General features: G+C 44.9%; 1 long non-coding RNA gene across 4 annotated transcripts in view, besides 1 other annotated feature; it reads right to left on the bottom strand.

The window, feature by feature from the left end:
• LOC105369309 (uncharacterized) overlaps positions 1–13,928 on the bottom strand; it is a 189,617-nt gene that overhangs the window by 150,806 nt on the left and 24,883 nt on the right. For all 4 annotated transcript variants that reach the window (XR_007062670.1, XR_007062671.1, XR_950120.3 and 1 more), the window contains one exon: positions 1,233–1,950. This is a non-coding gene — a long non-coding RNA (uncharacterized LOC105369309). The remainder of the gene's footprint in view (positions 1–1,232; positions 1,951–13,928) is intronic.
• Positions 12,300–12,594: a silencer, noted in NCBI's record as "tiled region #8342; K562 Repressive non-DNase unmatched - State 13:Ctcf". NCBI's record gives its function as "represses a minimal TATA promoter and a strong SV40 promoter by Sharpr-MPRA in K562 cells {active_cell/tissue: K562}" and the evidence as "EXISTENCE:reporter gene assay evidence [ECO:0000049][PMID:27701403]".

Raw genomic sequence — 13,928 nt, forward strand, 5'->3', positions numbered from 1 at the left:
TGATGGTGATGATGATGATGTTGATGATGATGATATATTTACTCATCACTTACTGTGTGCCAGCTGCTCTGCTAAGCACTATATATGGATTAATTTACTTAATTTTCACAAAAACCCAAGGTAAGTACTATTATTATTTCTATTTTACAGATGAGGCAACTGAGGCACAAACAAGCTAACGTGCTTAAGGTCACATAGCTAGTAAGTAGTTGATCTGAGTTTAGACACTCAGTAATACTTGGTGACTGACTAACTTCAGAAGACAAGAACAATGTGGGCCATAAGAGAAAATTCAGTCTCAGTCAAAAGTAGGGTTTTAGCCACAGAGGTCTTTATATCAGTTTATTTTCACACTGCTGATAAAGACATACCTGAGACTGGGAAGAAAAGGAGGTTTAATTTGACTTACAGTTCCACATGGCTGGGGAGGTCTCATAATCATGGCGGAGGGTGAAAGACACTTCTTACATGGCAGCAGCAAGACAGAATAAGGAAGAAGCAAAAGGGAAAATCCCTGATAAACCCATCAGATCTTGTTATTCACTATCACGAGAACTGCATGGGAAAGACCAGCCCCCATGATTCAATTACCTCCCCCTAGGTCCATCCCACAACACGTGGGAATTCTAGGAGATACAATTGAAGTTGAGGTTTGAGTGAGGACACAGCCAAACCATATCAGTCTTCTGTGATTATTTGGTGAAAAAAATTGGAGAGTAATAGGTAAAACCAACAAGTATCCTATCTGTTTCATTGCAAGTAGCTTTAATGGTTGCATTGGACAAGGTAGACTAATTGTGATAATAGGTGATTCCAAAATCTCAACAAAGTAGAGATGTGTTTGCTAGGTTATTTGACACAATTAATTCTTATTTCCTGCTCATGTCATGTCCCAAAGCATGTCAGAGGCTCTGCCTCACATGGTTATTCAGGGACCCAGGATTCTTCCATCTAGTGGCTCTGCCATCTCTGAGGCCATGGGAATTCTCTACAGCATGGAGGATCTCAAGGACATTTGCAGGAGTCAAAAATAGAAGCATTGTACTTTAATTCCCGCATATTCCATTGGCCAGAACTGAGTCCCATGATTTCATTTAACATCAGGGAAGTAGACTAGCTGTGCACATAGAAGGCAAAGGAAACAGACTTTGATCAACTCCACCAGTCTCTAACATGGTCTGCTCTTCTTGTTACCAAATACCTGTTTCACTCTTCCTCCACACTTATCTTACCCTGTCAGCACATCCAGGTCAAAGCTCAAGATCGCCAATGTTCCAGTATCTCCATCAGGTCTCTTGGTGGTCCAGTGACCTATGAACTAAAAAGAAAAATTATCTGCCCCCCAACCCACCCCCTACTCTACACACACCCAATATACAATGGTGGCACAGGGACAGAGTAACAGCAAATTAAAGACCTTGTTTGAAAAGAAGGAAAACACACACGCCCATTATGGTTCATAGCAATTCTGAAATCCTGCTTGGAGAGCATTATGAAGGCCTCAGACTAAGTTCTTATATTCAACTCTGATTCTGTTTTCTGAGAAGAACTCCTTTGTCACCGTCCTCTGTGACCTGACTCTTCCCTTTTGATTGAAGGGTCTCCCTTTTCCATTATCCACCATGGCTATATCTACAGTGGATATTGGGGAGAATGCAACCTTTGGCAGTTACCCAGCTTCAACAGCCAGCCTTCTGCTGGTGCAAGTATGCTGGCGTGAAACTGGTTTTAGGACTCAATAGTCGAAAGCTTTTTGGTTCCAGGTTCATGGTTTCATAGCAATTTACCTCCCTTAAAAACGTAGTAGATTTCTGTTTGCTTCCACTAAGTTCCACATTTCAGTACACATACAAAGTTTTGTCCCAAAAAGTGCTTTCAAGCCTATTGTGATGCTTTGCTTTCTCTTCTTCCATGCCTCTTTCTCTTCCCTTAATGCAGCCTTGCAATTATCTGAAACAACAGATGAGAAGGACACATTCTTATTCTTGTTCATTTCCTCTTGGCTAAGTCTCATTAACTGGATGTTTTTAGGGCACCTTGTTGCTCACAGCCTTTTTCAATTTTATCTCTTATCATTTAGGTCTAGAAGCAGTCAGCTTTTTCCATTTTTTAGTGCCCCTCATTTTTTACTTTCTTTCTCTTTCTTTTCATTTCTAATTTCAAACTCCTTTAGAACTAAGTAAGGCATTTAGAAACCTGGTTTGGATCAATCTGGACTGAGACCAAAAATATTTAAAATGCATCAACAGTTAGGCAACCTGAACTTCACGAAGGGAATGAAACTCCTCATGGGAAATGGTCATCGGGATGAGAAGGAAGGAAACTGAGAAGAAGAAAAAAAATGCTACCAAGCTAGAGAGTTCACTGATGACATTCAGATTTCAGAAAGTCTACCAGAAATCACCACAGCAGGGATAGGTCTGCCAGGTTGCTGGGAAAAAGTTACTCCTAGTGGATGCTGGTAAAGAGGCTATCTAAAGAGAAAATGTTGGCTGTATTGTATTGCTGGTCATTATTCCCAACCCCCTCAACATGGAAGGCAGAGATCACAAGGAAATACAAACGCCACTGTGACACAGTTACAAGAAAAATAATATTGTTAGGTGCCCCCATCCTCCACCCAGCTTTACACCTATCTCATGGAATCATTCAGGAGTATACTGCATGACATTCTAGAAAACACAAAATAATGTGGCTAATTTTACAAAGCTAAGGATTCTATTCCTGTAGCTGAGCCAGTATTCAAAAGAGATCCCTGGATCTGCATATTAAAAGCCAAAGCTGGGCTGGGCACAGTGGCTCACGCCTGTAATCCCAGCAGTTTGGGAGGCAGAGGCAGGTGGATCACCAAAGGTCAGGAGTTCGAGACCAGCCTGGCCAAAATGGTGAAAGCTGGTTTCCACTAAAAATACAAAAAAATTAGCCGAGCGTAGCGGTGCATGCCTGTAGTCCCAGCTACTCAGGAGGGAGAGGCAGCAGAATCACTTGAACCCAAGGGGTGGAGGTTGCAGTGAGCTGAGATCACGCCATTGCACTCCAGCCTGGGTGAAAAGAGCAAAACGCAGTCTTAAATAAATAAATAAGCCAAAGCTATGAAAATGGTTGATATAAGAAGACTACTTGGCCAAGAGTTAGATTCCCATATAAATAAGCAGTTTATGCCTCCATTCATTTAAAAATATGAATCCCACACCTCTACATGCTAGACATATATTTCCAGGGCTGGGTATATGGTGCTGAAGAAACTAACATTCCTGCCCCTGCCCCTTGGTGTCTTTCTATGCAGGGGTCGGGGTGAGAGGGTCGGTAATGGTGGTAGATCAGACAATAAACAAGAAAAATAAATAGTTCCAGATAGTGATAAGTGCTGCAAAGAAAATACAGCAGGAAGAGGTTTGGGGGGTGAGATTACAGAGGTAGGCCTAGATCTCACCCGATAAGTAGGTCCTTGTGGGCTCTGGTCAGACTTCAAATTTTGTATAAATGCAATGGAAAACCACTGGAGGGCTTTCAGCAGGGGAATAACATGATCTGACGCGATTTTCCAAGACCGTTCTAGATGCTGTATGTTCAAAAGGTGGGAAAGAATATATAAGCTGTGACATCAGGGAGGGGCCTTCTCCATGAGTCCAGGGGAAAGGCATTCCAAAGGGACACCAGGGCTGGTGGTGGATGAAGGAACAATCAGAGTAGAAATTTGAAAGGCAGAGCCAATAGGACTTGCTGATGCATTGGATGTAGGGAGACAGGACAAAAGAAAAATCAAAAATAACTCCTAATCTTTTTTTTCACATCAGCTGCAGCAATGCTCAGCCAGGCCTAAGTAGCGGAAAGACTGTCTTAATTCTATTAAAAAACATACACACACAACAGATAGTCAACAATCAGTAAGTCAGAAAACCCTGATGAGTAAGTTGGAAGGGAGAGGGAGGAAGCAGATAGAAAAACAGATTCATAATGTCAGGAAACGGCCAAAACCTGAGGGCCCGGAGATGGGGGTAGAAAAATATGAACACACAGAGTTGGTTTCAACAGTCTGCAATATCATTCGGAGTGTCCCAGTGGACCTTAAATAGAGCAATGGGGCCTCGGGAACTGGAGTTCAAGTCTAATAATCAGCAGCATTTTCAGTAGAGATAGATTTGTATCCATAGTGATGTGCTAGAGGCGGAGCATCAATCTAAAGTTGTTTCCTAGAAGGAGAGTCTTAGACTCCCTTGACTGTATACCAGGAAACAAACCCAGGAAACAAATTATATTTGAGATGGGCTCAAATATGAAATGGGAATATTGCACAGAATCACATAAAGAAAAATGGGAATGAGCAGCTTGTACTCACTCATCTTAACCAAGGAATGAAAGGCAATTGTGAGAAACTAGGTGTCTCAGGATGGTGCTAATACTGAGAACATCCGAAACCGTTATAATCATTATGCATTTACAATGTATTACACACTGCACCAATGTACTTGCAATATCTCACGGATGTCTCACGATTTTCCTGGAAGAAAGCACAGACTTGATTAAAAGCATGGACTAGGAAACCACACTCCCTGGTTTCAAATCCCAATACTGCCACCTTGGGCAGCTGACATCACCTCTTTGAATCTGAGTTTCTCTGCCTGTAAATTTCAGAGGATAATGGTAGCTACTTCATAGGACCTCTGAGAAGATTAAATGAGCTCATGTAAATAAAGTACTTAGAACAGTGCCTGGGACAGAGTGATATTCAATTAGTGATAGCGACTATTACTATCATTCCTTTTTTACAGGGAAAGACTTAGAAGCTGAGAGATGCTTAAGTAACTTGTCTAATGTCACAGGGCTGAAATGTGACAAAGCCAGGGTTTTAATCACCTCTGTCCTCCAGACCCAGTATCTATCAGATACCAGATAGGTCACACTGGCAAGCTGTGAAAGCGAGTCTCCAAACCTGGGACCAAGTGAACTATGACCTCAATATTCATATCCATGAGTGGTCCACTCCCACACTGAATCTGCGCTGGCCCTGTGACTTGATTTAACCAACAAAAAGTGGCAGAAGTAATGCTGTGCCTGGCAGCTTCTGCTTTTGTGCTCTTGGAAGCCCTGAGCCACCATGGATTAAGTCTGATCCATGGAGAGTGATGGAGAGTCCATATGGAGAGACCACGTGGAGAGAAAAGAAGCTCAACCTTTCCAGCATGCCAGCTGAGCCCATCTTTCTAGCCATTCCCCCAAGGCACCAGACATATTAGTGGATACATATTGAACATTTCAGCCCCAACTACCCTCTGACTGCATCCCCATGGGACACCAAAGCAAGACCAGCAAAACAACTCTCCAACTAAGCTACAGTGGTGACAATTTATTGTTTTAAGCCTCTATGTTTTTGTTATGCAACAATATGCAACTGAAACACTAATCTATAAGAAAAAGACTTATTGGGGACAAAAATGTGTCAGTAACACAAGGCTGAAACCTAGAGTGACTGTTGCATCCCAGAAGCAAGCTGTACAGAAAATAATCATCCATGCTCTGGAGTCCTATTAATGAGCATATAATAGTGCCAACCACACAGTAAGAAATCAACAAAAAATTAGCTGCTTTTTTTATTATTAACAAGAATACACTTATTCTAGATGCAATTTAATTGCAATGCAAGGAATAGATAAAAATCCTTAGTTTTTGCTTCTAACTTCTCCAGGAATAATGCTGCAGGAAATTTGTATCACTTTCCTTTGCTTTAGGAAATTTCAGTGCACAGTATTGTAAAGACTTGATTATTAAAAGATTTGACAAGGACAAAAAAAGTTAAGAAAGAGAAGATGACCACAACTGGTCTCATACTGCTCGTTAAGAGTAGTGACTTCCTGGCTGGGCATGGTGGCTCACATCTCTAATCCCAGCACTTTGGGAGGCTGAGGCAGGTGGACCACCTGAGGTCAGGAGTTCAAGACCAGCCTGGCCAACATGGTGAAACCCCGTCTCTACTGAAAACACAATATTTAGCTGGGCACAGTGGTGGGCGCCTATAATTCCAGCTACTAGGGAGGCTGAGGCAGGAGAATCACTTGAACCCAGGAGGCAGAGGTTGCAGTGCACCGAGATCACGCCATTGCACTCCAGCCTGGGTAGCAAAAGGGAAACTCTGTTTAAAAAAAAAGAAAAAAGATAGGGACTTCCCAAGTTACTCCTGCAAAATGGCATTGTTACAGAGCAATGTATCATGACAGGCATTTTTTGACAAAAAAAAAAAAAATTCATTTCCAATTCAGACACAAAGTAGTATGAGATTTTGTCTATGCAAAGAATTTTAAACCTGTCTCACTCCACAATGGTGGGAGAATATTGAGTTCCCAGAAATAAAGCAGCAGTCAAAGGTAGCACAGACAAAGACGCTGAGCCCATGAGTTACATAGAGGAGTGCAGCTGTACTGCATTCATCATTTTGATGAATAAATAGATAAGGGAAAAGCAAGGCCTTCCATAGAAATAAAGGTTATTTCTGTAGATTACTTTAAACGTATAATAAAGTCCTTCAGCGAAAAAAATAGACATTCCAACAGAGATCTCAGGGAACAAGAGCAACATGGAATACCCAGAAGACGATCTAGATTGAACAGAATAGAATCATCAGCAGTAGAATTGAGAACAATCACCAGACCTTTGGTGGAGGTGGAGCTGAGCACTGATCTTTGGATACGTTATACATCCTGTATTGCTTCATCGAAGCAATGGTATAGTCCAGAGGTCCTTGACCTGCGGGCCACGGATGGGTACTAGTCTGTGGCCTGTTAGGAACCAGGCTGCATAGCAGGAGGTGAGCAGCAGGCAAGCGAGTGAGCGAAGATTCCTCTGTATTTAAAGCTTCTCCGCATCATTCGCATTATTGCCTGAGCTCTGTCTCCTGTCAGATCAGCGGTGGCATTAGATTCTCATGGCAGTGCCAACCCTATTGCGAACTGCGCATGCGAGGGATCTAGGTTGCACGCTCCTTAAGAGAATCTAACTCCTGATGATCTGTCACTGTCTCCCATCACCCCCAGGTGGGACCCTCTAGTTGCAGGAAAACAAGCTCAGGGCTCCCACTGATCCTACAATTTGGTGAGTTGTATAATTATTTCATTATTGTTAACAATGTAATAATACCAAAGTACAAAATAAATGTAATGCACTTGAATCATCCCAAAACCATTCCCCATCCCAGGCGTGTGGAAAAATTGTCTTCCATGAAACCATTCCACGGTGACAAAAAGGTTGGGGACTGCTGGTTTAGTCCATTGAAAATCATTCCTTGTTTCCATAAAGATCCTCCTCTTCTACCATTTGTGATATGTGGAGTTTTGGATGCATGAGCCCTATCTCATTATTAGAGTCTTGGGATTTGTCAAGAGTTGGCAAAACCAACGATGCAGCCCACTCTGATTTCCTCCTTGAAGAATTTATTTATTTCTGGCTAAAAGTGCTACGATTTACTCCAGGAGGCTGATAATTATAGAAGGCAGCTGTAGTAATGTAGAGGAAGCCCTAGGCTTTAATTCAAGAGACATAGTCCCTCAACAAACACTTGCCGAGGCCCTGGCGTGAGGCAAGGCAATGTTTAGGTACATGAAGAATTACTAAAAACCAAAGAGATCAGAGATTATTGATTCATGTTTTATCCACCGTGCCCAGCATAGGGCTGGATGTGTAGCAGGTTTTCAGTAAATGTTTGTTTAACCAAATTAATAATGACACTAGTTAGCAAATCAATTTCCCTCTCTGGGGTTGGTATTTCACCTCCTATTTTAAAATTTAAAAAATGTAAGTGGGTTATAGCAGCACTTCTCAAAATTGAATGTGCATAACAATTTCCCGGGGATCCTGTTAAGGTACATATTCCAAACCAGTAGGCTGGGAAGGAAGGCCTGGAAGTTGCGTTTCTAACAAACCTCCAGCATTACTGGCCCATGGACCACACTTTGAGTAGCAATGGGGCAAATGATCTCTCAGGGAGAAATTTTGGATACAATGAGGGATCCTCCGATTCTGTTTTTTAATTATGAAAAAATAGTAGATACTCTAACTATGGAAGGGAGAAAAAGAGAGGTAAATGGGGCTGGGCACGGTGCCTGGGGTGGATCCAGGAGGTTGGTAGAGGCTTCTCCTGGGGGCCAGCAGGAAAGGCCCACTCTTCGTCACAACGCACAAACAAATTCTTTTTGGTGCCTGCAAAAAGAATCAGCAATAATTTCGCTGGCTCGGAAGGCTCTGTCTCTTAATGATTCTTCCTGTTTTTCTCAGCCTGATCCAAGAGAATGAGAAAACAGCCCTAGTGAAGGTCAGCGGAGGTCAGAGAGGTCCCTGGAGAGGGCCGCTTTCAGGGAAATGGAGCAGATAGAGGCCCACCCCTTCTGCCCACCCTCATCTCTGCCTAACTCTAGCGCTACTCCTTGACCAATCCAGCCCAATCCCAGTGTATCAGTACTCTGCCCCAAGTCAATTCCATTCAATTAGACATTCATTACTACTGATGTGTGTGCCAGCATGCTAGATGCCCCGGATGATGCCAGGATGTGACACTGCCAGGGCCCTCCAGTTGCCCATGGTCTAATGGGGAGGAGTTCCACAGTCACAAGAAGACGTGTTACAATGAAGAATGCAATCAAGGACACGAGAAAGAGATCTGCAAGTACAATATGAATTTAGAGAAGTGAGAGACCAAACTTTACAGAGAAGGGGACATCTGAAATTTAAAGATGGGTATAAGCTCTTCAGTAAAGATGGAAATGAGCCATTCCAGGTGGAGGGAAAGCAGGAGAGACAGCACAGAGGGGAAGGAAGAGTGGATGCTCACGACAGAATCCAGTGTGACTGGAACAAAGGGTATTTTGAAAGAATAGCCTGCAATGGAGGGTCTGGGAGGTGCAGGGGAGATTTTCATCTTTAGGGTCTTAGTCCTCCCTTTCTCATCTTTAGAGTCTGATAATTGGCCCTCCCTTCAACATGCATATGCTTCCCTGACCCATCTTTAGGATCATACTTGCAAAAACAGTTCAAGATTAACCACAGCAATTCATTTATTCCACAATCTTTTACCAAAACCCTAAGACACGTGAGGCACTGTGCAAGCATAGGAAATACAGCCAGGGATGAGATAGGTAAGTTCCAGAGCACTGGACAAACAATCAGTAAAGTGAGACGGTAGAAAGAACATAGGAACAGGAAAGTCCTGGGTGCAAATATACGTCGTGTGTCATGAACAAAATATTTCATATCTCTGAGCCCTGGTTTCTACCTCCCTGATGGGGATAATTATACTTATTCCACGGGGTTATTGTAGAAATTAACCTGTGGGGAAAGAGCTTCATACTGTGTTGGGCACACTGTAAGCATTCGTTACCCATGTATTCTTTGTTCAGCCATAAAGAGAGGCGCCTGGAATACCAAATCTCCAGGGTCCCTTTCAGCTCTGATATTTTGCTTGGGCAGTTCTAAGACTCTGCGGCACCTGTAACTGTGCCCACTGACCAGGGTCCTGGCACATCCCAAGGAGTGACGCTCCATCCCTCCCTGAGCAAGAAGCTTCTACCAGGGTGGCCTGAGATGAGGCCAATGGATCAGGCAGGCATTAATCAGGTGGCCGCCCTCCTTGGCTGTGGCGCCGGCAGGCCAGGCAGCGTTCTGGCTGCCTAGCTTCCCCGATCGGCTTCCACACCACTCCACAGACCCGTTGCCATGACAGTGAACCCCAAGGGGCACCCAGGAGTGGCCAGAGCTGGAGAGGAAGGGTTCCATTGATCGAAATCCATCTGACTCAGCCTTGGTTGATTTCAGGATCCTGGAGTGAGAACAAACAACAATTTAAATCTACTGAATGCTTTTTTCAATGCCAGACAACATATTAAGTGTGTTTTTCCGATTCTCTCATTTCATACTCACAATGGTAACGTGAAATAGGGATCCTCATTCCCACTTAACAGAATGAGAAACTGGGGATCAGAGAAGAAAATACCGATGTCACCCACATAGTAAGTGGTAAGGCCAGGACACAACTGTGCCCCCCAGCTCCAGCCCCAGGGATGTATCATTCCAAAGACCCTGTGCTTTTCCACAAACCACAGTCTTCCGAGCCACCTGAGCCTCCAGGAAAGTTGATGCCACTTTCCCCACTTGCCTGAATGTTCCTGAGGGGCCAAGGGGGACAGGTGCAGAGAGCTAGGTCTCTGAGTGATTCCTCAGAGACAAGGCCAGGTCACCCAGATGATGGGCTACTCAGACAGCTGCCAAAAATATGTTCTGGGATTTTCCAATGTAATCCCAATTTCAAATATTCTGCTTGTTTTTCTAAAGAATGAAAATTCCAACATACTGCCACCAAACTAATACGTCTCTCAAATGAGCTGTTGTTCATCTGGAAACAGCACAATATTTGACAACATCTGTCAGACCCCGTCACAACATTTGGTTCTAAAGAGCACGGTCCCTGTATTTTGATGCAAGGTAGCAATGTGCAAGCTCTGGCCTTAGATTTAGGGCTCTGACCTGCCAGAAGGAGGATATCCAGAAACCAGAGGACATCAACCCTTTTTCTAACCTCAGCAGCTGGGGAATTTGCCGAAAGAACAGCTTGGCATTCCTTCCCTGCCTTTCACCCCCCTTCCCATGGCTACTGAACTATTGAGCCCAAACTCTGGGAACCCATGACATGGGAAAATCCAGCTGGCTTCTGTAGCCCCAGACATCTGGATTCCCTAACCCCAGGCAGCCAGCTGAGTGAGGAGGCAGCAACACAAGGATGCTTGGGAAAGCCTTCGGAGGGACGTCTGCCAAGTCATCTCCCTCCTGAACAAACACATGTCCCACTATCTAGGGGTCAGCAGAGCCATGTTTATATGTGCTTAGGCCATTCAACTGATTAATTAATTAGCTCCCTGGGTGGCCTTTGGCCACTAAAGCTTCATCCCTTGAGGCCTCAGTTTTCTTATCTATAAAATGTTAGAATTAGGCAAGTTGATGTCTAAGGTTACTTCCTGCCCTACGATTTCAGCTTTCTACCATAAAAGAACAGGATGAGCATGGACAGGATTTGGCTCTAATACTGTCCCTGCTCTGCCAGCATGGGAAAGTCCCTTCCCATTTCTAAGCCTCAGTTTCCTTGGGGAGTTAAATGAGGGGCGGACTAGATGATCTCTCAGTCCAGAGCTCTGTTATCTCAGAAACTGGAACACATCTTGACATGCCCTCTCCCTGATCACCTGCATGCACTGTAACCCAGCAGACCCCATCTCGACAGCTCCATTGCCACCTACTCAATCAGGCTGCCTGCTCTCACCTGGACCACTGCAATAGCCTCCTAACTGGTCAAGCAACATCTGCCGCCCCTCCCTCATCTCTATGCTGGAGACTACCAGTGTGAAGTTTCTTTTCAAAACACAAATCAGCTAGGCACAATGGCTCACGCCTGTAATCAATCCCAGAACTTTGAGAGGCTGAAGCAGGAGGATTACTTGAGCGTAGGAGTTTGAGACCACCCGGGACAACATAGCAAGATCCCAGCTCTACCAAAAAAAAAAAATTTAAATTATCCAGGCATGGGGGCGTTTGTGTGTAGTCCCAGCTACTCAAGAGGCTGAGGCAGGAAGATGACTTGAGCCCAGGAGGTCAGGGCTGCAGTGAGCCATGCTCATGCCACTGCACTCCAGCCTGAGCAACAGAGTGAGACCCTGTCTCAAAAAAAAAAAAAAAATATATATATATATATATATAAGATCATGTTAGCCTGCTGCTTGTATGGAGTTCCATTGCAATTAGGGTAAACAATAGTGCAGCTTGTGAGACCCTCACGGCTAACCCAGCCCACCCCTCAGCACCATGTCTCACCACCCTCCCTTCCTCAATGTACACAAGTCCCTTGGCCTTTCGCTTCCTTAATAGACAAGCCTCCCAAGCCTCAATCTTTGTTCATGCAATTTCTTTGCCTAGAATGCTGATCTGCTTCCTCTCTATCCCACTCCCTTCTTCAACTTGTCCATTTCTTCCCTTCCTTTAGATTTCACCTCAGGCATCTCTGCTTAGAAATCCTCCTGGGAACTCACCAGGCTAGCTCAGATTCCCTGGGTAGACTTTCCCATAAGACCATTGCCTTCCCTACAGAGCATTCCTGTCCATTTCTGAGTGCGTTCAGGGATGACATTGCTTTCTCTCATTCCTACTCATCCCATAGTCTACACTCAATAAACCTTTTCAAGATGAGGGACTGGATGTTCTGCCCTTAGGAAGCTCCTAAGAAGAGGATGGCACCTTTTCCAAAAGCCCTGGCAGAGACCAAGACTAAAACAGATCTGATCTAAGACTGTCAGGCTCCCGAGGAGACATCCTGCTGACTGCTGGAAAGCTCTGCCCAAGGCAAGCTTGAGACTTAGCCAATTGCTATGGCTATGCTCAGAGTTCATTCCAGCAGAGGGTGCTCAGAAGTCCACCCTAGAGCGCTCTGAGCTGGCTGCCCTCCCAGCCAGCAGGCAGCCCGGGGCAATGGCTCCAGAGCATCAGATTAGGAGGAGAGCTGAAGTCTGTACTGTGGAAAGACAAGATGACTAGATAGATTCTTCTTTGGAAATGTCTTAAAGTGCCTTTTCCCCCACCTTCTCCACCCACTGACTTGCACAGATCATTCAAGTGTAAATGGGCCTCCTCCTTCAGGAAGCCTTCCTGTATCACCCCTGCTGGACTAAGGTTCCTAAATCTGCATTTCTATGCCTCCTGGGCATCCCACTAGCATTGTATACTACTACACTGAGAGAATGTGTTTCCACACCTGTCTCCTCAGCCAGAATAGCCTTCTTCATCTCCTATCACCAGCATCCAGTGCCTAGAACACAACTATCACTTGGGAAGACTCTATCATTTTATAGATGAGGAAACCAAGATCCAGGAGAAAGAATGATTTGTCCCCCAGGGTCACACAAGTCACTCACTGGCAGGGCCAGGAATCTAACCCACGTCTACCACTTCAAGCTGACACCTTTCCCTGTTGCATCCCTGCCTTCAGGAAGGGATGGGAATGAATTTGCGATAGGATTCATTTATGATCCTGTGGACAAGAGCCTCCAATGACTCTCCGGGGATGCCTAATCACCCCTTTATAAGAAAGGCTCCAAGAGCAAGATGCCGGACTCTCCCATGGGGAGAGCACCTGTAGCCTGTTGTGTTGCCTGCCCACCAGCTGGAGAGGCTGACCCTACTCAGTACTGAGATTAATGAAGAATCCAACCTCAGTTCCAGCAGGAGGTGAGCACACGATGGCAATCCCTCCCTTCTCTGCACGCAGAAAGTTCATCTTCCAGGAAATGGAGAGTTATGGTTCCTTCCCACCCCCTACCCCCAGTTGATGCTTTCTGAGAGTCAACCAGCATTTATTAAATGTGCCGTCTCATTCGGTCATTCAACCCCAGACCATAAGTTTCTTGAAGTCAGGAAAGTATCTTAAGTTTGGATCACAGAATATATTGTTCTAAAGGGCCTTTAGGATTCACCAGGTTCCAGCTTCTCTGTTTACACCTAGGAAATGGGGTCCAGAGGGTGAAAGAGACTTGCCATGTGAATGACTGCAGAGCCAAGGTCTGGGTCCTGCTCCCTGGTGTCCCACACTGATCTCTCTGCTCCATGTCTCTGGACTCTGGCCCTGACAAGAAGCCTCCTTGGATCCTTCCAGGCCTGAGAGCAGAGCAGGTCCCTGTGAAGGTGTGTCTGTCCGTTGATGGGAGAGAGCATGTCAAGATTCAAACTGCAAATCTGATCGCCTCACTTCTCTGTTGAAGGACTGCAGTGGCTTCACCCCACCCTCATATGAAGTTCATCCTTCAGGATGGGTCCTCCGAGACCCTGACCCCGATGTCGTCTCCAGACACGGCCCTGTCACTCTGAGCCACAGTCCCTCACTTGGCACTTCCCAGCTCCTCCCTTAC

This window comes from Homo sapiens, chromosome 11 (assembly GCF_000001405.40).
Source record: "Homo sapiens chromosome 11, GRCh38.p14 Primary Assembly".
In the NCBI taxonomy this organism is placed as follows: Eukaryota; Metazoa; Chordata; class Mammalia; order Primates; family Hominidae; genus Homo; species Homo sapiens.